At 40.3% G+C, this 23,801-nt stretch overlaps 1 long non-coding RNA gene across 1 annotated transcript, besides 2 other annotated features; it reads right to left on the bottom strand.

Moving 5' to 3' along the window:
• Positions 9,290-13,126: an enhancer, noted in NCBI's record as "VISTA enhancer hs1831". NCBI's record gives its function as "enhancer in: heart[10/15] | other[11/15]" and the evidence as "EXISTENCE:transgenic organism evidence [ECO:0001131][PMID:17130149]".
• On the bottom strand, positions 9,319-23,757 carry PDK4-AS1 (PDK4 antisense RNA 1). The gene is made up of 3 exons (XR_001745287.3): positions 23,653-23,757; positions 10,574-13,496; positions 9,319-9,892 (listed from the first exon to the last, which is right to left on the bottom strand). It is a non-coding gene; the product is annotated as a PDK4 antisense RNA 1 (long non-coding RNA).
• Positions 10,835-12,034: an enhancer, noted in NCBI's record as "CDK7 strongly-dependent group 2 enhancer chr7:95237714-95238913 (GRCh37/hg19 assembly coordinates)". NCBI's record gives its function as "activates an origin of replication core promoter dependent on BRD2, BRD4, P300/CBP, MED14 and CDK7 cofactors, with strong dependence on CDK7, by STARR-seq in HCT116 cells {active_cell/tissue: HCT116}" and the evidence as "EXISTENCE:reporter gene assay evidence [ECO:0000049][PMID:35650434]".

The raw sequence follows: 23,801 nt of genomic DNA, 5'->3' as shown, positions 1-23,801 counted from the left end.
ATATAGTTAGATACATGTAGGTAAATAAAGAAAGAACTCTCACATATTAATAATAAAAAGACACAGGAGGCTGAAGCGGAAGGAGTTTAAAGCTAGAGTGAGACATGATCGCACCACTCTGCTCCAGCCTGGCTGACAGAGTGAGATGCTGTCTCTGTAAATAAATAAATACATAAATAAAAGAAGACAAACAACACAATTTAAAAATAGACAAAAATTTGAACAGGAACTTCACAAAAAGGGATATATAAACGGTCAATAAGCACATGAAAAAATGTTCATTATGAGTCATCTAAGTTACCAATTAAAACCACAGTGAAGTATTTCTTCACACCCACTAGAATGGCTAACATTTAAAAGACTGACCAAACCAAGTGTTGACATGGATGTGGAAAAACTAACTATCATACACTGCTGGTGCACACACAAAAACTTACACATAAATGTTCATAAAAGCTTTATTTATAATAGCTAAAAATGAGAAACAGTCTTATGGCCCATCACAATTCAATGGATAAACAAGTTGTGTTATATCCATACAGTGGAATACTACTCAGCAATAAAATAATGAACCACCAATACATAGAACATGGATGAATCAGAAAAACATGCAGAGAGGCTACTCAGGAGGTTGAGGGGGGAGGATCACTTGAGCCCAGGACTTTGAGGATGCAGTGAGCCATAGTCACGCCACTGCACTCCAGTGAGACTCTGTCTCTAAACAAATAAACAAAAGTTTCAGACACAAAAGTACATTGTATATGGCACCACTTACATAAAATTCTAGAAATAAGGAAATATAATCTACCATGACAAAAAGACCATTCATTGCCTGGACCAGAGATTCGGAGAGGATTAACTGCAAAGGGGCATGAGAGAATTTTGCAGGGTGATGGAAATGTTCTAAATCATAACTATGGTGTTAGTCACAGAGATGTATATATTTGTCAAAACTCATAAAAATGTACATTTTAAAGGAGCACATTTTATCGTATGTAAATAATAATAAAACTGATTTTAAGTCAATAAGTTGATTTTTAAAACTGGCTTATTCCAAGAAATGGTCTTAATATTTGCTCATAGCACTGTTACATGTGTGTCATTCATTAGATCAAAATTTGAGATTAGTAAGCTAGGCTGATAACCATAGTCCCAAAATATTTACTGACACAGTTTTACCAAATTTACCACACCAGTGTTGAAAGATGCTCTATGAAAAAAGAAGTCTCTGTGGTCCAGTTGATTGTAGAAAGACTGAATATTCTATCTATAGGGTCTATATATTCTTAGATATTTATATACCAAAAATTTTTTCAATTTTTAAAAAGCATCTTTAAAATTTTTTAGCATATTTTTTAAAATGTGTAAGCTATCATCAATTCTTACAAGGAAGAAGATAGGTGTGGGAAATTAAAAAGATGGCTATGAGTTCTTATTTTTAAGTCTTATTTTAAGTGCAGGGGCACATGTGCAGGTTTGTTATATAAGTAAACTTGTGTCATAGGGGTTTGTTGTACGGATTATTTTGTCGCCCACGTATTAAGCCTTGCACCCATTAGTTATTTTTCCTGATTCTCTCCCTCCTCCCACCCTCCACCCTCTGATAGGCCCCAGTGTGTGTTGTCCCCCTCTATATGTCCATGTGTTTGCATCATTTAGCTACCACTTATAAGTGAGAATGTGCAATATCTAGTTTTCTGTTCCTGCATTAGTTTGCTAAAGATAATGGCCTCCAGCTCCATCCATGTCCCTGCAAAGGACATGATCTCATTCTTTTTTATAGCTACATAGTCTTCCGTGGTTTATATGTACCACATTGTCTTTATCCAGTCTATCACCAATGGGCATTTAGGTTGATTCCATGTCTTTGCTATTGTGAATAGTGCTGCAATGAACACATGTATGTATGTGTCTTCACAGTAGAATGACTTATATTCCCTTGGGTATATACTCAGTAATGGGATTGCTGAGTTGAATGGTATTTCTGTTTTAGGTCTTTGAGGAATTGCCACACTGTCTTCCACAATGGTTGAACTAATTTACATTCCCACCAACAATGTATAAGCATTCCTTTTTCCCCCTGAATCCTCCCCAGCATCTGTTACTTTTTGACTTTTTCATAATAGCCATGCTGACTGGTGTGAGATGGTATCTCAATGTGGTTTTGATTTGCATTTCTCTAATGGTCAGTGACATTGAGCATTTTCTCATATGATTGTTGGCTGCATCGATGTCTTCTTTTGAAAAGCGTCTGTTCCTGTGCTTTGCTCACTTTTTAATGGAGTTGTTTTTCTTGTAAATTTGTTTATGTTCCTTATAAATGCTGGATATTAGACCTTTGTCAGATGCATAGTTTGCAAAAATTTTCTCCCATTCCGTAGGTTGCCTGATCACTCTGTTGATAGTTTCTTTTGCTGTGCAGCAGCTCTTTAGATCTACCAAGTTTTGCTTTTGTTGCAATTGCTATTGGCATCTTTGTCATGAAATCTTTGCACATACCTATGTCCTGAATGGTATTACCTGGGTTGTCTTCCAGAGTTTTTTATAGTTTGGGGTTTTACATTTAAGTCCTCAATCCATCTTGAGTTAATTTTGGTGTATGGTATAAGAAAGGGGTCTAGTTTCACTCGTCTGTATATGGCTAGCCAGTTATCCCAGCACCATTTATAGAATAGGGAGTCCTTTCCCCATTGCTTGTTTTTGTCAGGCTTGTTGAAGATCAGATAGTTGTAGGTGTGGCCTTATTTCTGGGTTCTTTATTTTGTTCCATTGTTTTATGTGTCTGTTTTTGTACCAGTACCATGCTGTTGTTACCGTAGCCCTGTAGTATAGTTTGAAGTCGTATAGTGTGATGCCTCCAGCTTTGTTCTTTTTGCTTAGGATTGCTTTGGCTATTTGGGCTCTTTTTGGTTCCATATTAATTTTAAAATAGTTTTTCTGGATCTGCAAAGAATCTCAACTGTAGTTTAGTTGGAATAGTATTTAATCTATAAATCACTCTAGTCAGTATGGTCATTTTTGCAATATTGATTCTTCCTATCCACGATCATGGAATGTTTTTTCATTTGTTTGTGTCATCTCTGATTTTCTGGAGCCGTGTTTTGTAGTTCTCCCAGTAGAAATCTTTTTCCTCCCTAGTTAGCTGTATTCCTAGGCTTATTCTTTTTGTGGCAGTTGTGAATGGGCTTCTGTTCCTGATTTGACTCTTGGCTTGACTGCTGTTGGTGTATAGGAATGCTAGTGATTTTTGCACATTGATTTTTGTATCCTGAGGCTTTGCTAAAGTTGTTTATCAGCTTAAGAAGCTTTTGGGCTAAGACTATGGGGTTTTGTAAATATAAGATCATGTCATCTGCAAACAGGGATAGTTTGACTTCCTCTCTTCCTGTTTGGATGCCCTTTATTTATTTTTCTTGCCTGATTGCCCAGGCCAGGACTTCCAATACTATATTGAATATGAGTGGTTAGAAAGGGTATCCTTGTCTTGTGCTCATTTTCAAGGGGAATGTTTCCAGCTTTTGCCCATTCAGTATGATGTTGGCTGTGGGTTTGTCATAGACAGTTCTTTTTATTTTGAGCTGTGTTCCTTCAATACCTACTTTATTGAGAGCTTTTAACCTAAATGGATATTGAATTTCATAGAAAGTCTTTTCTGCATCTATTGAGATAACTGTGTGGTGTTTGTTTGTTTGTTTGTTTGTTTGTTTTAGATGGAGTTTCACTCTGGTTGCCCAGACTGGAGTGCAGTGGCACAATCTCGGCTCACCACAACCTCTGCCTCCCAGGTTCAAGCGATTCTCCTGCCTCAGCCTCCTGAATAGCTGGGACTACAGGTGTAAGCCATCACACCTAGCTCATTTTTGTGTTTTTAGTAGAGATGGGGTTTCACCATGTTGGCCGGGCTGGTCGTGAACTCCTGACCTCAGGTGATCCATTTGCCTTGACTCCCAAAGTGCTGAGATTACAGGCGTGAGCCTCCATGCCCGGCCCCATGTGGTTTTTGTCTTTGATTCTGCTTATGTGATGAATCACATTTATTGTTTTGCGTATGTCTAACCAACGTTGCATCTCAGGGATAAAGCCTACTTGATTGTGGTGGATAGGCTTTCAGATGTTGCTGGATTTGGTTTGCCGGTATTTTGTTGAGAATTTTTGCATTGATGTTCATCAAAAATATTGGTCTGAAGTTTTCTTTTTTTGGTGTATCTTTCTCAGATTTTGATATCAGGATGATGCTGGCCTCATAGAACAAGTTAGGGAGGAATTCCTTGTCCTCAATTTTTTGGAATAGTTTCAGTAGGAATGGTATCAGCTCTTTTTTTGTACATCTGATAGAATTCAGCTGTGAATCTGTCTGGTCCCAGGTTTTGTTTTTTTGTTGTTGTTTTTTGTTTTGGTTGGTAGGCTATTTATTACTGACTCAATTTCAGAGCTCACTATTAGTCTGTTCGGGGACCAATTTCTTCCTGGTTCAGTTTTGGGAGGGTGAATGGGTCCAGGAATTTATCCACTTCTAGATTTTCTAGTTTATGTGCATAGAAGTGTTCATAATAGTCTCTGGTGGTTGTTTGTATTTCTGTGAGGTCAGTGATAATATCCCTCTCATCATTTCTGATTGTTTTCATTTGAATCTTCTCTCTTTTCTTCTTTATTAGTCTAGCTAGCAGTTTATTCTATTTTTTTTTCAAAAACTAGATCCTGGATTTGTTAATTGTTGAAGGATTTTTTGTGTTTCTATCTCTTTCAGTTAAGCTCTAATTTTGGTTATTTCTTGTCTTCTGATAGCTTTGGGATTTGTTTGCTCTTGGTTCTCTAGTTCTTTTAGTTGTGATGTTAGGTTGTTAACTTGAGATCATTCTAACTTTTTGATGTGGGCATTTAGTGCTACAAATTTTCCTCTTAACACTGCCTTATCTGTGTCCCAGAGATTCTAGTATGTTGTATATTTGTTCTCATTAGTTTCAAAGAACTTCTTGATTTCTTCCTTAATTTCATTATTTACCTAAAAGTCACTCAGGAGTAGGTTATTCAATTTCCATGTAATTATATGGTTTTGAGTGAATTTCTTAGTCTCGATTTCTAATTTGATTGCACTGTGGTCTGAGAGATTGTTATGATTTCAGTTCTTTTGCATTTGCTGAGGAGTGTTTTACTTCTGATTATGTGATCAACTTTAGAGTATATGCCATGTGGCAATGAGAAGAATGTATATTATGTTGTTTTGGGATGGAGAGTTCTGTAGATATCTATTAGATCCATTTGATCCAATGCTTAGTTCAGGTACTGAATATCTTTGTTAATTTTCTGTTTTGATAATCTCTTTAATATTTTCAGTGAGGTGTTATATTCTCCCACTATTTTTGTGTGGGGGTACAATGCTCTTTGAAGGTCTCTAAACCCTTGCTTTATTAATCTGGGTGCTCCTGTTGGGTGCATATATATTTAGGATAGTTAGATCTTCTTGTTGAATTGAACCATTTACCATTATGTAATGCCCTTTTTTGTCTTTTTGGATGTTTGTTGGTTTAAAGTCTGTTTTGTCAGAAACTGGGATTGCAACCCCTGCTTTCTTTTGTTTTCCATTTTCTTGGTAGATTTTTCTTCATCTCTTTATTTTGAGCCTATATATGTCACTGCATATGAGATGGGTGTCTTGAAGACAGCATACCAATGGGTCTTGGTTCTTTATCCAGCTTGCCACACTCTGTCTTTCACTTGGGGGCATTTAGTCCATTTACATTCAAGGTTAGTATTGATATCTGTGGATTTGATCCTGTCATCATAGTGTTAGCGGGTTATTTTGCAAACTTGTATGTGTGGATGCTTTATAGTGTCACTGGCCTGTGTACTTCAGTGTGTTTTTATAGTGGCTGGTAATAGTCTTTCCTTTCCATAGTTGGTGCTTCCTTCAGGAACTTTTGCAGGGCAGGTCTGGTGGTACCAAATTTGCTCAGCATTTGCTTGTCTACAGATGATCTTATTTCTCCTTTGCTTATGAAGCTTAGTTTGGCTGGATATGAAATTCTGGGATGGAATTTGTTTTCCTTAACAATGTTGAACGTTGGCCTCTGATTTCTTCAGACTTGTAGGGTTTCAGCTGAGAGGCCCACTGTTAGTCTGATGGGCTTCCCTTTGTAGGTAACTAACCTTTCTCTCTTGCTGCCTTTAATATTTTTTCTTTCACTTCAATCTTGAAGAATTTGATGATTATGTGTCTTGTGGATCATTTTGTTGTGAAGTATCTTACTGGAGTTCTCTGAATTTCCTGAATTTGAATGTTGGCCTCTCAATCTAGGCTGGGGAATTTCTCATGGATAATAGCCTGAAATATGTCTCCAAGTTGGTTCTATTCTCCCCATCTCCTTCAGGGACACAAGTGAGTTTTAGATTTGGTCTCTTTACTCAGTCTCTTTAGTGAGTCTATTTCTAAGAGCTTTTGTTCTTTCCTTTTTTTCTTTTTTCTCTATTCTTGTCTGATTGTCTTATTTCAGAAAGCCATTCTTTAAGCTCTGATTCATTCATCCACTTGTTATATTCTGCTATTAATAGTTGTGATTGCATTATGAAATTCTTGTATTATATTTTTTGACTCTATCAGGCCAGTTACAGTCTTTTCTATACTGTCCATTATTGTCTGTCAGCTCTGGCATTGTTTTATCATGATTTTTCACTTCCTTGCATTGGGTTTCAACATACTCCTGTAGCTCAATGATCTTCATTCTTATCCATATTCTGAATTCTATTTCTGTCATTTTGGCCATCTCAGCTCAGTTCAGAACCTTTGCTGGAGAGGTGATGTGGCTGTTCGTAGGAAAGAGGGCACTCTGGTTTTTCGAGTTTTCAGTTTTCCTGTGCTGACTCTTTCTCATCTTTGTGAGCTTATCTGTCTTCAATCTTGGATGTTGCTGACCTTTGGATTTTTTTTTCTTTTATCCTATTTGATGATTTGATGACCTTGAGGGTTTGACTATAATATAAGGTGGATTCAGCCACCTGGCTTTGTTTCTGGGAGATTTTAGAAGGTCAACACTCAGCTCTCAACTCCTGGACGGCATGTTGTAATTCTGGGGAATTTGTATTGGGCCCCATCTGTTCTTTGACTCCTTGAGGTTTGGAATCCACTGTACTGGGGGAGCCAAGGTGCAACAGCTGTTGCAGAATGCTAGTGGGTGCTGGGGTGCCTGCCTCCCTGCAGGTGCTTACCGGAGTAGCAGAGGCAAAGCAGCTAGGGGAATTGGGGGAAGCCCTGCTGGAGACTGTCTTCCTGAAGGTGGTGTTGGCTCAGTGATGGGGTGCTGGTGGGCACAGGTCAGTGCCTTCTCTTGTCCCATGAGCAAGAGTGATGGCTCTTGACAAGCTTTCTTACTTATTTCATCAAGGAGTGCCTAGTAGAACACAGTTTGGGAAATTCTAAATTAGTTTATGAATGTCAATCTGGAGGGAAGTTTCCAACTCAATTCTACTTGTTTTTAATCATCAATGTATATTTTAAGTCTCAAAAAGGCTGATTTAGTATGCAGCATTTTTCACATGTATTTGAGCATGGTATTATTTTTTCAGCAGCATTTTACAAAACTGGTATTCTATTACATTTTCTTCCAGAAACAGTTTTCTATGGTTTGTTCTATCCTTAAAAACAACTTGTTCAAATGGCAAAAACGGAATTGTCAAATTTTCAGATAACGCAAACTAGTTTTGAAAACAAAGTTGGTCAATATGAATTTGAATTCATTAATATCTGGACAGGCAAGATTAATGAGATATAAAAAACTTTTATTGGCCTTGAAAAATCAATTACTTAAGTGTATATGTTTTTTGAGGGACAGGGAGAACCAGGCATTGGAGTTTTAGTTGACAATAAACTCAACCAAAAGTATAATGTTGCTGCATCAAAAGCCAGTTCAACTCTAGTCTACACTATTAAGAGAATCATGTCAAAAACAGAGAAGAAAGAGAATGTAGCTAAGTACCATTGTAAATCTACAAGATGCTGGAAGGTCTGGGGATGATATTAAAGGAAGTGGGTGAAAAGTTTGGAGAAAAGAATACACAGGCATAATGGTACTGGCCTCCAAATATGTGGGAGAAATTTCATGGAATGTAATTCAAGCATCTTAATTGCCAGCTTCTAGGCCTATTTTTTAAAGCTGTGGTTGTACCTAACTAGAGCTATCTTATTCAAATGGGAAATTTATTCACAAAATCCACAAGTGGCGGGTGGATAAGGCTTAGCAAAGATGAAGGGAACTCTGAGACAGGGCAGGCAGAAGCCCAGCAGGGCCACAAACAGGAGCCGTATGGTCCCCACCACTACCTTCCTCCAATGTCACTAGTGATGAATGACCAGACCTGCCCTCAGGTTCTTGCAGTTGCAGCACTCACTTAAAATTCAAATCTGATCAAGGAGTTGGATCAGGTCGGGTGTCTGGCCCTGGCTATAGGAGGGAATGAAGAAAAGAGAGATCCCAGTGTCTTTTATGGGAGGTAAACACTTCCTCTTCCAAGACAAAACACAACAGGGGTGTTCCCAAAAGGAAATCAAGGCACAACTTGGAAGCTAGAAGTTTGGCTATGAGATAGCCAAAATTACTGAATGTTAGATGAAGAAACTACAAGGGGTTAAATTCAAGTTCTTCCAGAGAGCAGAACTAGAAAAAAATGAGACAGGCAGAGTGAAGTCAATGTTTTAGCATAAAGAAATAATAACAATTCTTTCTGCACCAGGAGGAAATAAAGTTCCTTACTAGTCAGGGAGCACTGTGCCAACTGAAGTATCCCAGCAGCAATGAGAGGGTTGTTGGTTTGGGATGCTGTAAGGATGTCCCACTTGGAGAAGGAGTTTATGCTAAATGAACTCTAATCAAAGATACTTCCTCAATAAGGGAAATGCAACAATTATTCAGACTCATTCTGTGAGAATTTTAAAATCAATAATGAGCAACCAAGGAGATTTGAAAAGTGGAATGCACCCTAGAGGTCATCTAGAACAATAAAATTTTTGTCAGTATGGAAGCTGAGATGTAGGGAGATGAAATAATTTTCCCCCAAGGGCTTTCAGTGAGTAAATAGCAAAAGAAATGTAAAACAGGATTCCTACGTCCTCAACTCATACTTCTCTGCTACAAAATACTCCTTCTTTTTTTAAACTGAATAGTTGCACTTAGTGATAAGACGTATAAAACTTAGAAAAACTTATAAAACTAGAAAGAAATCTCCAAATCTATACATTGTTAACAGAATGACCATGAACACAGGAAAGCGTGGTCATGTGGGGGAGGGGGATGTGGCCAAAGGGGGAGAAGGAGACAAGACAAAAAATTCATTCAAACCAAAATGAATTTATTTTTCTGATATGGCCTCTAAATTACCAACATGTCCTTTGTTTTGATGCTAACCTTTTCTGGTAATTAAAGTTTGGGTGTTAAAGAAAAAACAATGCCTTTAAGTACTAGCAAGACGTCAGGAAAATGTCACTGTGAAGGCAAATTATTTTCATCTGCTTAGTAAACTTTTTGATTGATGAAAAGTCAATACTTCACCAATTCTTCTTGCAGGTGTTGTTTGTCTGATATGTCTCCTGTGTCATCTGGATACAACAGTTTAAACAGTATTTTAATGAGAAAAATTGCCTGTGGCTGACCTGGAACTGCCTCAAATGAATTTGTAGCTGATAAGATGTTTGCTTGAAATGTTCTTTGAGGGACAAATCCATTATTCGTTGCCACTTTTTCCAAGGTTCATGGAGAAATTAGCTTAATTATTCCTTGCCAGAAGAAAGCAAATGCTGCTTTTTTGAGAAAGAAGGGCAAATGCTATTATTCACTGGGTTTCAGCAATTCTTTCATAAATCAGCATAGTGAAGTTGGTAGACTAGACCATTAGACACCTTTCTCTGAAAGATAGAGTACATTATATTAATTATTCTTCCTCAATGTAGAGGCAAAAGAAAAATATGAGTTTCCTTAAAGGCTGTGTCAAAATATTGAGATAAAATGTAGAAATCTCAGTCATTCAGAGACGTCCTAAATATGTCTAATATTTCTATGGCCTCCTATCTCCTTTCAAATTGATGTAGGGTATAGATTTTCCAATTGCATCCTGAAATACCATATCCGTTAGCAGCCAAGGAAGGATTAGCATAACTCAGAAGCACTCACTTAAAAGAAAATCAAAAGAAAAATAAGAAAGAAGAAGAAAGGACAGGGAAAAATAGGCCATCCAAAAATTAAAGCCATGCACCATTACTGTCCTCTCCATACAATTTCTGGGTTCTTTCTCTTATAATAACTTAATGGTCCTCTATGCTGTTGCTCAGCTGCTCCAGTGGGAATGCCCCATCCTCTCAGAGCACAAATCCTACCATCTAGCTGATTCTAGACATTTTCATGACAGCCTGTTTACCACCCCATAATCCCAAAGTTAAGAGAGGCTATCACAGCTCCTTCTTAGCTAGCTCAGTTTTCTTTGAATGAAGTTTACACCAAACACGTTTTCATCCAGCCTTGTGAGCAACCAAAGTCTTTCTTGCTTGAATTAATTTACCTTTGGGGGTTGGTAAATGGAATTTATTTACCTTTATTTAGATTCCCGATGTTTCAAGAGGAAATGCTTGTAAGGAACTAACTCTGGAAACCATCTGAGAGGAACACTGTTTGCACAGCACTTTTCAAAATAATAGCATGGCAGGCTTCCCAGTTCACAGCCACAACATCCTGCGGAATCAGCTGAGCTTTTAAAAAAGCTAACAACCAGTTTGAATTTGAGCAATTATTTGGGGGTTCAAGGCAGCAAAGCTTTTGTTCTTAAAATCTAGAACAGTGGTCTTCTTACATCATCATTCAGATAGACCTGAAACAAAAATTTGACACCAAAAAAAAAAAAAAAAAAAAAACTGCCCTTACCACAAAGATGCTTTTTTCCCTTGATTCTATTTCATTTTAATGCTGTTCGTGACTCATTAAACTGATTTCATGATCCACTAATTAGTTACAACCCACAATCTAAAAAGCACTTGTCTAGAACATGGAGAAGTTCTCTGCTGACCTGGAGTCATTTCAAACACCATGTTTTAAAGATTTCACAGCAATGTTGCAAATTAAACTACCTGAAGATTAGGAATCATTGCTCTAGAGCAATTGATAAGAAAACCTACAGGTTTCTTTATTGAAATACACTTTTGAAAAGAATCTCACCTGGCAGTTATTTTAAATAATATAAATGTAGCAGTAAGTAGGCTGTTGATCAGTTTGCCATACTCAGTACAGGGTGATCTATGAAGTACTTTGCAATCTGTTTTTTCCACTTGAGCAGCAGAATTCCTAACAGCCAGGAGACTCACGCAAGAACACAGTGAGTAGCTGAGCCTCATGCAAGAACACAGTGTCAGATCAGGGCTATGATAGAGACGCCTTGGTCTCCCCGACCTTTCCCCTAGTGAGCTCTATTTCCATGAACAGAAACTAGATGCCTGGGAGCTGAGGCATGGAAAGTTATTGCTGCTCGGCAGCAGTGACCCTTCACCTACTAAACTTCCCCTTGTTGACTCTGCAGCCAGGCAGTCCCGCCCAGGCTGTGGGTGTGGGACTGACCTTTCACCAACTTAGCCTGCTCGAGAGAGCCCCAGCATCTGCTTAGCTTCCGCAGGCCAGCTGCTTCTTCCTTCCAACACAATGTTGGTAAAAATTGTGCATAGCAGAAAGTAACTTTCTTTTTTCCCTAGGGCATTAATTTATAGGTTTCATTTCTTATTTAAAAATAAAAATAAACAATCCCTCACTCCCTTTGCTCCAATACACAGTGCATTTTGAGAAGCCTATTTGAAAGAAGAAGTGAGAGAACCCTAGTGTGCAACGGGTGGAATAAAGAACAAAAAAAGAGGACCCTTAACCCTTCCTATTTGTACTTCCTTTTGAGATTCTGCACTGACTGTTGAAACACGGTCAGGCAGGCCTGCTTTCCTCAATCAAGAACACAGCCATGTTGCCCAAACTCAGCATTTGTCAGGCCCTCGAGTTATTTTCAAAATGGGAAACTAAAGGGGGAAAGAAGTATGTGTCTGTGTGATTATTGTTAAAGTTGCAGACAGTCTCGTTTTCTCTCTGGCAAAGTCTAACTGAGCTCAAGAGGACATCAGGTAAAATCAATTTTGTTCAAGAAACAAACGGTTGAGTTTCCAGCATCTGTTTAGTTTGTTTTAGCATTCAACTGTTTCACACAGTTGCCTGGTTTTGGCCAACAGGGCAAATAGGTATTCTTCTAAAGTTTCAGAAAGGCAATTAAAAAAAAAAAAAAAAATCTTACGCTTCTCAATCCCCAGAAGAGTGTGACAAGGATTTCTGTTTAAACTGAGATTTAGAGAACCCATTTTTCCTACCAGCTGTATGACTCTGGTGACTTAACTCTTCTGCTTGTTTTTCCTCTGCGATTGAAAATGTTGGATTAAATGAATGATTTTCATGTTTTCCATTGACAGTCTCACTAAAGGACAGTTCTTCTAAATGTAAAGGGGAGGGTGGAGGTAGGGTGCTGCTGCAGGGCAGAACACCCCACCAGCAGCTGCTTGGGCCCCCAGCCCAGTAACAACAGGGGTTGCATCTCCCAAACATAATTCACTGATCCACTGATCTCTGGAGTCCTGCGTTGGGACGAATCCCAAGGCCGCATCAGATCACACAGGAGAAGATGTTATGATCCATTATTACTGGTGGCAGCCAAGCTGGAGAGGGAAGGACTAACCACTTGCATAACATGTAATTGCTTAAACTAGTATTTTCAAACAAATGCAGAAATTTTAGTATGACATCTGGGTATCTGTCCTTTTACTGCCAAATATGTAATGTACAATGCATTGCTCATACCAATAGGCCAGTGAACATAAATTGCAAGTAGTAAGGAATATTAGTATAACTGACTGAATTTTCCCATTTTTACCTAGACAGTGAATGCAATGGTGATACAGCTTTGACTGCCCCTGCACTGGGTTAAGCAACAAAATCACAAAAGAAAGTGACGTCTAAAATTTGTCTTTCAGATGACCTGGTGCTTGATTGTGCTCCTTTTACTATCTGACACCCCCAAAAAATTAGTCTAAGGCAGCCAACCAGTGCTACACAAACCAAGGCTGGAACTTAGCAAAACCTGGAGTTTTCCAAGTAAAATAATTCTATTTGAACTCAGTGTGTGTAGTAGAGGATACAGGAAAAAGAAAGGTCCTATTCAGTGATAATCTCAGGAAATTCATGCAATGATCAGCAATCAGAGGAAAGGAACAGGCCACAAAACTGTAAGCAAAGTTTCATGTTCAGTATTAGTCCACAGAAGACAATGAGCAGGAATAGTAAGGGAGAAATCTGATTGCAGGCTCTTCAGGTTTTGAGTCTCCAAGCCTCGTGGTATGCCCGAGCTTGTGAGAAATCGAAGGCAGGAAGTTCTCGCCATGGTTTTCAGCTCCATCAGGTCATTTAAGGTCTTCTCTACCATCAGAGTGAACAGATAACCTACAGAATAGGGGGAAATTTTTGCAATCTACCCATCTGACAAAGGGCTAATATGCAGAATCTACAAAGAACTTAAACAAATTTACAAGAAAAAAATCAAACAACCCCATCAAAAAGTGGGCAAAGGATATGAACAGACACTTCTCAAAAGGAGACATTTATGCAGCCAACAGACACATGAAAAAATGCTCACCATCACTGGCCATCAGAGAAATGCAAATCAAAACCACAATGAGATACCATCTCACACCAGTTAGAATGGCAATCATTAAGAAGTAAGGAAATGACAGGTGCTGGAGAGGATGTGGAGAAATAGGAACACTTTTACACTTTTGGTGGGAGTGTAAACTAGTTTAACCATTGTGGAAAACAGTATGGCGATGTGTCTGGAATTGGTGGGTTCTTTGTCTCACTGACTTAAAGAACGAAGCCGCAGACCCTTGCGGTGAGTGTTACAGTTCATAAAGGTGATGTGTCTGGAGTTTGTTCCTTCTGATGTTCGGACATGTTTGGAGTTTCTTCCTTCTGGTGGGTTCGTGGTCTCGCTGGCTTCAGGAGTGAAGCTGCAGACCTTCGCGGTGAGTGTTACAGCTCTTAAGGCGGCGCTTCTGGAGTTGTTCGTTCCTCCTGTCTGGAGTTGTTCATTCCTCTCTCTGGGTTCGTGGTCTCGCTGGCCTCAGGAGTGAACCTGCAGACCTTCGCGGTGAGTATTACAGCTCATAAAGGCAGTGCGGACCCAAAGAGTGAGCAGCAGCAAGATTTATTGCAAAGAGCAAAAGAACAAAGCTTCCACGAACAGGTTGCCACTGCCAGCTCAGGCAGCCTGCTTTTATTCCCTTATCTGGCTCCACCCACATCCTGCTGATTGATCCATTTTACAGAGAGCTGATTGGTCCGTTTTGACAGGGTGCTGATTGGTGCATTTACAATCTCTGAGCTAGACACAGAAGTTCTCCAAGTCCCCACTAGATTAGCTAGACACAGAACACTGATTGGTGCATTTACAAACCTTGAGCTAGACACAGGGTGCTGATTGGTGTATTTACAATCCGTTATCTAGACATAAGGGTTCTCCAAATCCCCACCAGATTAGCCAGATACAGAGTGCTGATTGGTGCATTCACAAACCTTGAGCTATACACAGAGTGCTGATTGGTGTATCTACAATCCCTTAGCTAGACATAAAGGTTCTCCAAGTCCCCACTAGACTCAGGAGCCCAGCTGGCTTCACCTAGTGGATCCCACATGGGGGCTGCAGTCAGAGCTGCCTGCCAGTCCCACGCCATGTGCCCACACTCCTCAGTCCTTGGGCGGTCGATGGGACCGGGTGCTGTGGAGCAGGGGGTGGCGCTTGTCAGGGGACCCAGCGCACCTTCTGCAGCTGCTGGCCTAGGTGCTAAGCCCCTCACTGCCCGGGGCTGGCAGCACGAGCCGGCTGCTCCGAGTGCGGGGCCCACCGTGCCCACGTCCACTCAGAACTCATGCTGGCCCATGAGAGTTGCGTGCAGCCCCGGTTCCCGCCTGTGCCTCTCCCTCCACACCTCCCTGCAAGCAGAGGGAGCTGGCTCCGACCTCGGCCAGCCCAGAGAGGGGCTCCCATAGTGCAGCAGCAGGCTGAAGGGCTTCTCAAGCACGGCCAGAGTGGGCGCCCAGGCCGAGGAAGCACTGAGAGCAAGTGAGGGCTGCCAGCATACTGTCACTTCTCAGCAATTCCTCAAGGATCTAGAACTAGAAATACCACTTGACCCAGCCATCCCATTACTGGGTATATACCCAAAGGATTATGAATCATGCTACTATAAAGACACATGCACACATGTTTATTGAGGCACTATTCACAGTAGCAAAGACTTGGAACCAACCCAAATGTCCATCAATGATAGACTGGATTAAGAAAATGTGGCACATATACACCATGGAATACTATGCAGCCATAAAAAAGGATGAGTTCATTTCCTTTGTAGGGACATGGATGAAGCCGGAAACCATCATTCTGAGCAAACTATTGCAAGGACAGAAAACCAAACACCGCATGTTCTTGCTCATAGTTGGGAAGTGAACAATGAGAACACTTGGACACAGGGTGGAGAACATCACACACCAGGGCTTGTCGTGGGTTGGGAGGAGGGGGAAGGGATAGCATTAGGAGAAATACCTAATGTAAATGACGAGTTAATGGGTGCGGCACACCAACATGGCACATGTATACATATGTAACAAACCTGCACATTGTGCACATGTACCCTAGAACTTAAAGTATCATTAAAAAAAATAAAAAAAGAAATAGAAGGCAGGAGGGCTGCTGACCCATTTCCTGGTCCCAATTTTGCCTTCCAAGTCAGTGAAAAGCCTATTTTGGACAGATATTTGGCAACTTCCTCTGTCTGTTCTCTTGCTACATCTATTTTCATTTCAACTTTTGGAATAACATTTATTTTCTTTACAATTAAGAAGTAACACATATTTCATGGCTTATCATTTGAAAACTCATTTCAAATGCAAATATAAATACTGGTAATTCCATTGCCCAAAATTAACCACTATGGATAATCTGATACATTTTCCTTATGCATAGATTTGTATATATGTTTGTGCATATAATATTTAAAATATTAACCACGTGTGTTTTCCACCAATATTTCTAATAATCTCAAGATCCTCTCCCCAATTTGGGCAACTGGACCATGACTCACAGAAGGAGCCAAAAATACTTATACAAGTTTTGAGAAATCTGCTTTACTGAGGAATTGAGATGTAGGTTTTCCTTTTTCTCAGATCCACAAAACCTGTATATGGTTTCTGTGATGCACCCACTAACCCCCTTTTGGGGCTCATCTGGGCTACTGTCAAGTCTCCTCCAGTTTTTATTCTCTTCTGCACCCCTATAACAAGAGAGTCTCTTCTAGTTCAAGAGGCAATAGTGAGAAACCTGATGTGATTTATTGTAGTTTCACTATGCTACAAATCCCCTCAAGGACTACACTTTTGAGACTCATTCCCTATGCCAAGACCTTAGAAAATAGCAGGAATAGAAATGGCCTCATGAAGGATTTAGGCAGACAGGCCTGTGACAGCCTTGTAGAGTTTCCTGTAGTCCAATGTATTACAGTCCCAACAGAGGGGGCACTAAGGTAGATGGGGTATGAGACTATGGTTCAGTATATTTCAGGTACAGAAAAATGGAATGCTGTCCTTGGATCCAAGAATAACCAGAGGCCACAAAGAGAGCCAGGCGCAAATGGGTCTTTTGGATGGGAATGAGACCTGATGGAGTGGCAATCTGCACGAACCAATAATCTAGGACTAGATTTGATAGGAATCATCTCGATGGAAGCTAGCATGGCTACTTGTCTACTTTCCCTGATAACTTGGGCCTATATACACTCCTGGGAAAATAGATGCCACTCCAGGGGAAAAGAACAGTAAAATCCCACATTAACCAAAAGGCCTTTAATAGACATTATACTGACTTACAGGAAATCAAAAGAAAAGAAAATATCAACACATGTACACTTGACACTTATGGATTGAAATTTGTAACCACTCTCTATATGTAGAATTTTTTTTTTTTTTTTTAGACAGAGTCTCGCTCTGTCACCCAGGCTGGAGTGCAGCGGTGTGATCTTGGCTCACTGCAACCTCTGCCCCCTGGGTTTAAGCAATTCTCTGCCTCAGCCTCCCGAGTAGCTGGGATTATAGGCGGGTGCCACCACGCCCAGCTAATTTGTGTATTTTTAGTAGAGACGGAGTTTCACCATCTTGGCCATGCTGGTCTTGAACTCTTGACCTCGTGATACACCTTTCTCGGCCTCCCAAAGTGCTGGGATTACAGGCATGAGCCACCGCATCAGGCCATATATTTAGAATGGTTTTAACTAAGGCTTAGTGGGTTTAACTAGAGTAGTTTTAATTAGATTTGCCAAGTGAATGTAACAGAGAGAGAGAGAATTAAGGGTTTTCCCAAGAGCCTAATTATAATGTTGGTTCATGGAGTCCATGCTGGATAAGAGGGGAAGAAAAGACATAAGAAGAACGAAGGAAAGTAAAATGGTAACCTCAATGAGATCAGGAAAGGCTAAGGGGTATAGGAAGCAGTATTGGGTGTGGAAAGATTTCAGGCTATGATGTCTGTGATAGAAAAGGGAGCATGGAAAGCAGCATTGAGCAGGGACAGAGATGCCAATCTGACAAAGTCTCAGCTCGGGTCTCCAGACAAAGAATTCCCATCAGAGGGATCCTACATTGAGGAAAAATGGCCAGGCCCTTCTAGATCCTCCTCCTTCACTGTGGGGGCTGCCTGAGAAGGGCGTGGCGTCAGCTCAAATGCTGTCTGGATCCCAAAGTTTCTGTAGCTGAAGGCTGTTAGCTAATTTCATTCCTTGCAACTAACGGCAAGCACTTCCTTAAAAGAAATCTCAGGGCAGACCTCAAAGCTGCTACAAAAATCTATGTCATTCATTATATCAGCTGCATAGTGTAGTGCATGGGTGTATCATTTATTTACACTATGGATTATTGGCTAAACAAGTTACTTTTCAATTTTTGTTTTTACAGGTAATGCTACAATGAACAATCTTGTACATCTATCTTTATTCTCTCTGTCAGTAAAAGTGTAGGATAAGTTGCCAGAAGTGAAATGGCTGAGACATGGGGTAGCTATCTTTAAAATTTCTATAGATTCTGCCAATTGCCTTCCAACAAAAATTTGCCAATTTCACCCCCACAAATAATATAGGAGAGTGTTCATTTCCCCAGGCCTTGCCAAGGAGATATTAGCAATCTTTTCTTTATTTGCCAGTCTACTGTTAGAACAATCGTGGCTTATTATCTTTTTACTTTTTATTTTCCCATTCACTCATTAGTTTGAGCATGCTTTTATAGGCATAGTACACATTTGTTTTCCTTCTTCGGTTATTTTTTCATTTCCTTTATTCACCTTTCCTTACTATTTTATAAAAGCAAACGTCAAACACAATTGAGAAATTCCTTGCAGGGGGAAAAAGAATGCTTAACCTATATTTGAAACTGATGCAAAATTCTTCTCTTTCCACAAAAAGTCAAGATGTGCTAGCTTCAGGATTTGCTTCCTTTTCTTTCCAGATAAGACTGGAGCCGCAAGTGCAAAAAGAAGAATGAACCCATTTGCTATGATGTAGGGAAAAGATTTTGGCCTTGATAAGTAAAAGGAGGCCAAGAATGAAACAAAGAGCTGCCCCAGAAGGAATATTGTGCACAGAAAAAAGGTAAGATATAGCTGTAGGCTGATAGGAGAGGGGAGCCTTGTATAAAGAAACTGGGGACAGAATCTCACCCATCTATCTTCACTTCTCAGCAAAGGCTTATTAGCCTTTGAGTTCTCATCTTCCCTTCACGGTAATTAGTCATGACTCTCCTACAGTTTCTCATTAACTCAAGGTGTTCCCAGACAAACCCGTCACTTGCACTACTGGTCTTTCCTTAGTCAACCTATCCTTTTCTCCTGACGCTTTTGACTTCCCTGCTTCTATCAATAAAATCACCTCCTCCCAGCAGCACAGGTTTAGAATATTAGAGAACTTTAAAAAATTATTCATTAACAGATTTGACAAAGCCTAGAGATACTACCAACAGATGGCTCTTTTCGTTCCCTCTCCTCACTGCTCCAATGCCTTTCTTCTTTGTCTGCCTATGAATGTCTGCTCCACCTTTATAAGTCAGATGACCTATGACTTCCTCCAAGGAAGCCTCCCCTGGCTGCTGCTTGTCCCCCCAGTACACATACCATATATGCCACATTCTATTTTTTAGATTATTTTCATGTCTGTCTCCCGTCTTTGAAGACAAACTATGCCTTCTTCATCTTTATGTCCTCAGCATTAATCACAGTGCCTAGTACATAGTAGGTGTTCAATAAAGTTTAGTAGAATTATTTAACTGCTAACAAATTTAAACAGAAAACACATTGCTCCCTGATTTAAAGGCTTCAACAGTTCCCTGCTGCTTACTCTAGAAATCTCATAGACCTCATACTAGCATTTCAGGCTTTCATGAGATAACTGAATCTTCCTTTCCTTCTGCCCTTAGGGTACTCTAGACAGCAGCCAGGTGAAACTAGTCATTATTTCTCCAATGTATCTCTAGCTCCTACATCTGTGCTTTTACTCAGTCTTGGACATTTTTCCCCACTGTCTACCAATTATTTGCCAAAATCTTGCTCATCTTTCTACAGCCATCCCAAATGCCAATTCTAGTAGCATTTCCTGATCCCCAACATAGCTCTTCCTCCAAACACCCCAGATCACCCTTAACATATCCACTGTCTGGCACCATCACTACTACCACCAATACCACCACAACCAGCATTGCCCATGGCGTGAACCTTTCTTATGGGCTGCTTTTTAAATGCATTTAATTATAGCATTTTGCCCTGAGGATTAAATGAAAATCTAATAAATTAAAAATAATTAGTTATTGTTTTCCATCATCAGCTAATAATCTGAGGTGCATGAGAGCAGACGCTTTTGCACCCATCAGGGCACCCAGTCCAGCTCCTGGCACCTAGTATCCTCTAGGTTAACAGTAACTATAAGAAACATCAGAGACCAAATTGTGGGTTAGATCCTGCTTTTCCCAGTAGCTTCACCAATATGCTTTCACCAGTATTCCCTCTCATCCCCAATAGAAGCTCATTCCATTTCTTTTAATTGTCGTTTACTCAAGAAGACCTTCCTTGACCACCAAATCTAAGGTAGTTCCAGCCTATTACACTCTTCACAATCATTTTCTTCTTAGCCCTTGTCCTATCTTAATGTATAGGCTTATTGGCCATATGCTTTTGTAATGCCAATTTCCCCCACAAGTCTATCATCTCCATGAGGGAATAGATCATGACCGAATGGTTCCCTACTGAAACAGCCATCTCTTAAATCATCATTTGTCTATTACGTATTCTGTAGATATGTTCTCCAAGTCTGCTGTTCATATTTTAACTTTAATATTCTATGGTCAAGTCTGTTAATCTTTCCATCATGTCTTCAGAGTTCCTGTTACGGGCATTTTAAATTGCTTCCTTGGAATACGATCCTGAGGTGGAAAAATTGTATAGACTTCCCTTTAAGGGATCTGATGGATTTTATCAAATTGGCCATCCCCCACCCTCTGGAAAAAGTGTGACTTGCATTCTCAAAGTTCTACCCGTGGCCTTTTGTTATTAGATTTTTTCCAGGCAAGCTGGACAGAACTTATTTAATGCTAGGTAAGGTGCCACTGAAAATTTTAGGAACCAGGTATCTCAAGCAGGGATGTTCAGCATTGTATGCAAGGGAACAGCTTTGATTACTTCTTCTATTCCTTAGCATTAGTCATTTAATAGTCTTCTCATGGTTTACTTTTACTCAAATGAATGCATGGATTTGTCATATCCATTGCCCCCAAATAATATTTTTGCTTCACCTCTGTCCCAACTGGATCACCTCCAAGATTTGTGTTCAACCTGAGAAGAGAAGTGCCACTCTTTTCCCAGGTCACTCTCTAATCATGGTAATACATAGCATCTTAGCCAACTGGGTAAACAACTTGACCTGACCTTTCTAGGCCAGCTATCATGAATGCTGCCAATTATAATAACAGTTCCCATCATACAGAAATGACACAGAAGAATGCAATGCACTGTGAGAGTAACTTCATAAATATTATTAGAAGGGATGACATAGAGACAAAATTTTGGCAACCTCAGTTCACATTTAGCCCTAGGTCATCTCTGTGAACATCATATGATTTCACCTGATCTTTAATCAGCCCACAGCACATAGAATAGTAGTGCTGGGTAAGCTAGGCTGGGCAATCAATGTACTTAGGGACATGGGACTTTCCTAAATTAGACTTGCCTGTAATGCATAATTTCCATTGCCTTTCCTCTGAAAATCAGAGTATAATTCTTTGTAATATATATTTTTGCTTATTCCAGGTTCCATATACAGTGAGAAAAGCAAATGCATGCTTTACTTTTACTTATGTTCTTAAGACCCAATCTAAGAAAAAGAAGGGATTTTTACCTTAAATTTACTTGCTTCATCAAAGAGAGTCTTATTCAGTTTTTTGGCTACTTGAACACATTTCGTTGCTGCATCAAGCTATGCAAATATTTAATAAAGGATTCCAAGTACAAAAATATAAATAATAGTGGCATCAAAACCTGTCTACAAGTGGAGATGCAATTTGGAACTTGCCCATATTCCCACAGCTGTTTCAGCTTAAGATAAGTGCTTGAGCTGTTGTGTTTTTGGTTTTTTTGTTTTTCTGTCCCACTCAAGTGCAACTGCTAGAGTCTATACTTGGATCATCCTTGAATATTCTCTAAGAACCCAGGCCCCATCCTCTTCATTGGAAGATCATAAATATTGCATGTCTTCACATAGCTGTTTCTCAAAGGTCTGAAAAAAATATTTGGTCATAACAGGAAGTCTCAAATTCTCGACCATCTATAGGTAATGTATAGACAATGGGAGAAATAGTAGGAGAGCTAATATGGTGCCTCCAAACAGGCCACATAACTGACACAGGGTTTGCCAGGACTGTTTCAGATCCCTCATAATGGTGTTGATTTTAGAGAAGCAAAATTGATACCTATTAGACATCCAAATGGAGAAACCAAATAGGCAATTGAATAGGAGAATCTGGCTCTTGGAAGAAAGTTTGTGCTAGAGATAGAATTGGAAATCTGTCCTGTGATTTAATGCAGTCTCCTAGACGAAGAGGGCAAAGGATGACAGCAGAGCCTAGGATCACTCATGACTTTCAGAGTTGCCCGTTCTGCTTATAAATGCAGGGCAGGCTGGGCGCAATGGCTCACTCCTGTAATCCCAGCACTATGGGAGACCGAGGTGGGTGGATCACTTGAGGTCAGGAGTTTGAGACCAGCCTGGCCAACATGGAGAAACCCCATCTTCACCAAAAATAGAAAAAATTAGCTGAGTGTGGTGGCGTGTGCCTGTGATCCCAGCTACTCAGAAGACTGAGGCAGCAGAATCGCTTGAACCTGGGAGGCCGAGGTTGCAGTGAGCCGAGATGGCACCACTGCACTCCAGCCTGGGAGACAGTGTGACTCTGTCTCAATAAATAAAGTAATTAATTAATTAATTAAAATAAAATAAACGCAGGGGGAGGAGGCCAAAAAGGTTTTTTATAACAAACTATCATTTTTAACACCTCATAAATTCCCATTCTATTACATTTGTAACCAACTCTCTTACTCCCAACTTTCCCAAACACGGTGGCTTCATTCCCTAGTCCTTTTAGAGTGTCGGGAGAGGAAAAGGAGGTTAGTATGACAGGGTAATGTGTCTCAACCACTGTCATTAATTTAATAAATATTGAGTAGTGAAAAAGTAGGAATCACAAAGCTGCATCAGACAGGGTCCCTACCCTGATCTCTTTCAGGAAAGGGGGGAGTCAGAGAGGGATAATATAAAAACATAAATAGCTATAGAATAGTACCATGAAAGACCAAGGCCTTATTTGGAAGAAGTGAGGAGAAGTAATCAAGGAAGACCTTTTGCAGCAGACAGCTTGTGCCAGACATTTGAGGGTAGAATGGAATGTCTTAGGTAAAGATTTGGAGTAAGGACATTTCGTACAGGGCAGAGTGAACAAATTCTCTGATCACCGCAAAAGGTAAGGCAAACTGACAAATTGATCCCTTTTTAATTTTGTTTTTAATTAACAGAACTAAACCTAACGGAAAGAATGTGTTGCCGGAGAAGAACGAATTGATGGCCTTTTATTACCACAGGAAAAAGTAAATGTATCTGGGCAGCCCCTCAAGTCTCAGCAAAAGGAACGTACAGTTCCTGCCATGTGCCGGTCTCTTCTGAAGAAAAGGGGGCGGTGGGGGTGGGGGCGCAGGTCTTTAGGTTGTTTATTCCTTTCTCTCTGTCCAGTGGCAGAGAAGCCCATACTTTTGAACGCAGCTTGTTGGCTACTGTAAAAGCCCTGCTCTGAGCAAGGACCAATGAGCACGCGGAGTCCAAACTCTTGGAAACAGTTTGTGGCCAGGAGTACTTGACATTGAGACAGCCTCCGAGTTGTAAACAAGGGCGAGCCTGGGCGGGACCCCAGCCCACGCGACTCGGAGCCCCGTCCCAAGAGGCTAATCTTAAGCCCACGTTGCCCCAGATACCTGTTTCTGCTTCCTCTTCCCTGTTCTTCCCACCCTTTTTCCGTCACAGCCGCGGGCACCGGTGCCAGGGCACTCCGTGGTCACCGTGCCAGGCCATTCTGTGATGACCGCGGCTGGAGGGGCGGAGCCCATAGTTCTTTCTCTGATCT

The sequence above is a fragment of the Homo sapiens genome, chromosome 7 (assembly GCF_000001405.40).
Source record: "Homo sapiens chromosome 7, GRCh38.p14 Primary Assembly".
Classification (NCBI taxonomy): domain Eukaryota; kingdom Metazoa; phylum Chordata; class Mammalia; order Primates; family Hominidae; genus Homo; species Homo sapiens.
The sequence above is the reverse complement of the archived record's forward strand: the minus strand, read 5'-3'. Positions and strand labels throughout refer to the sequence as shown.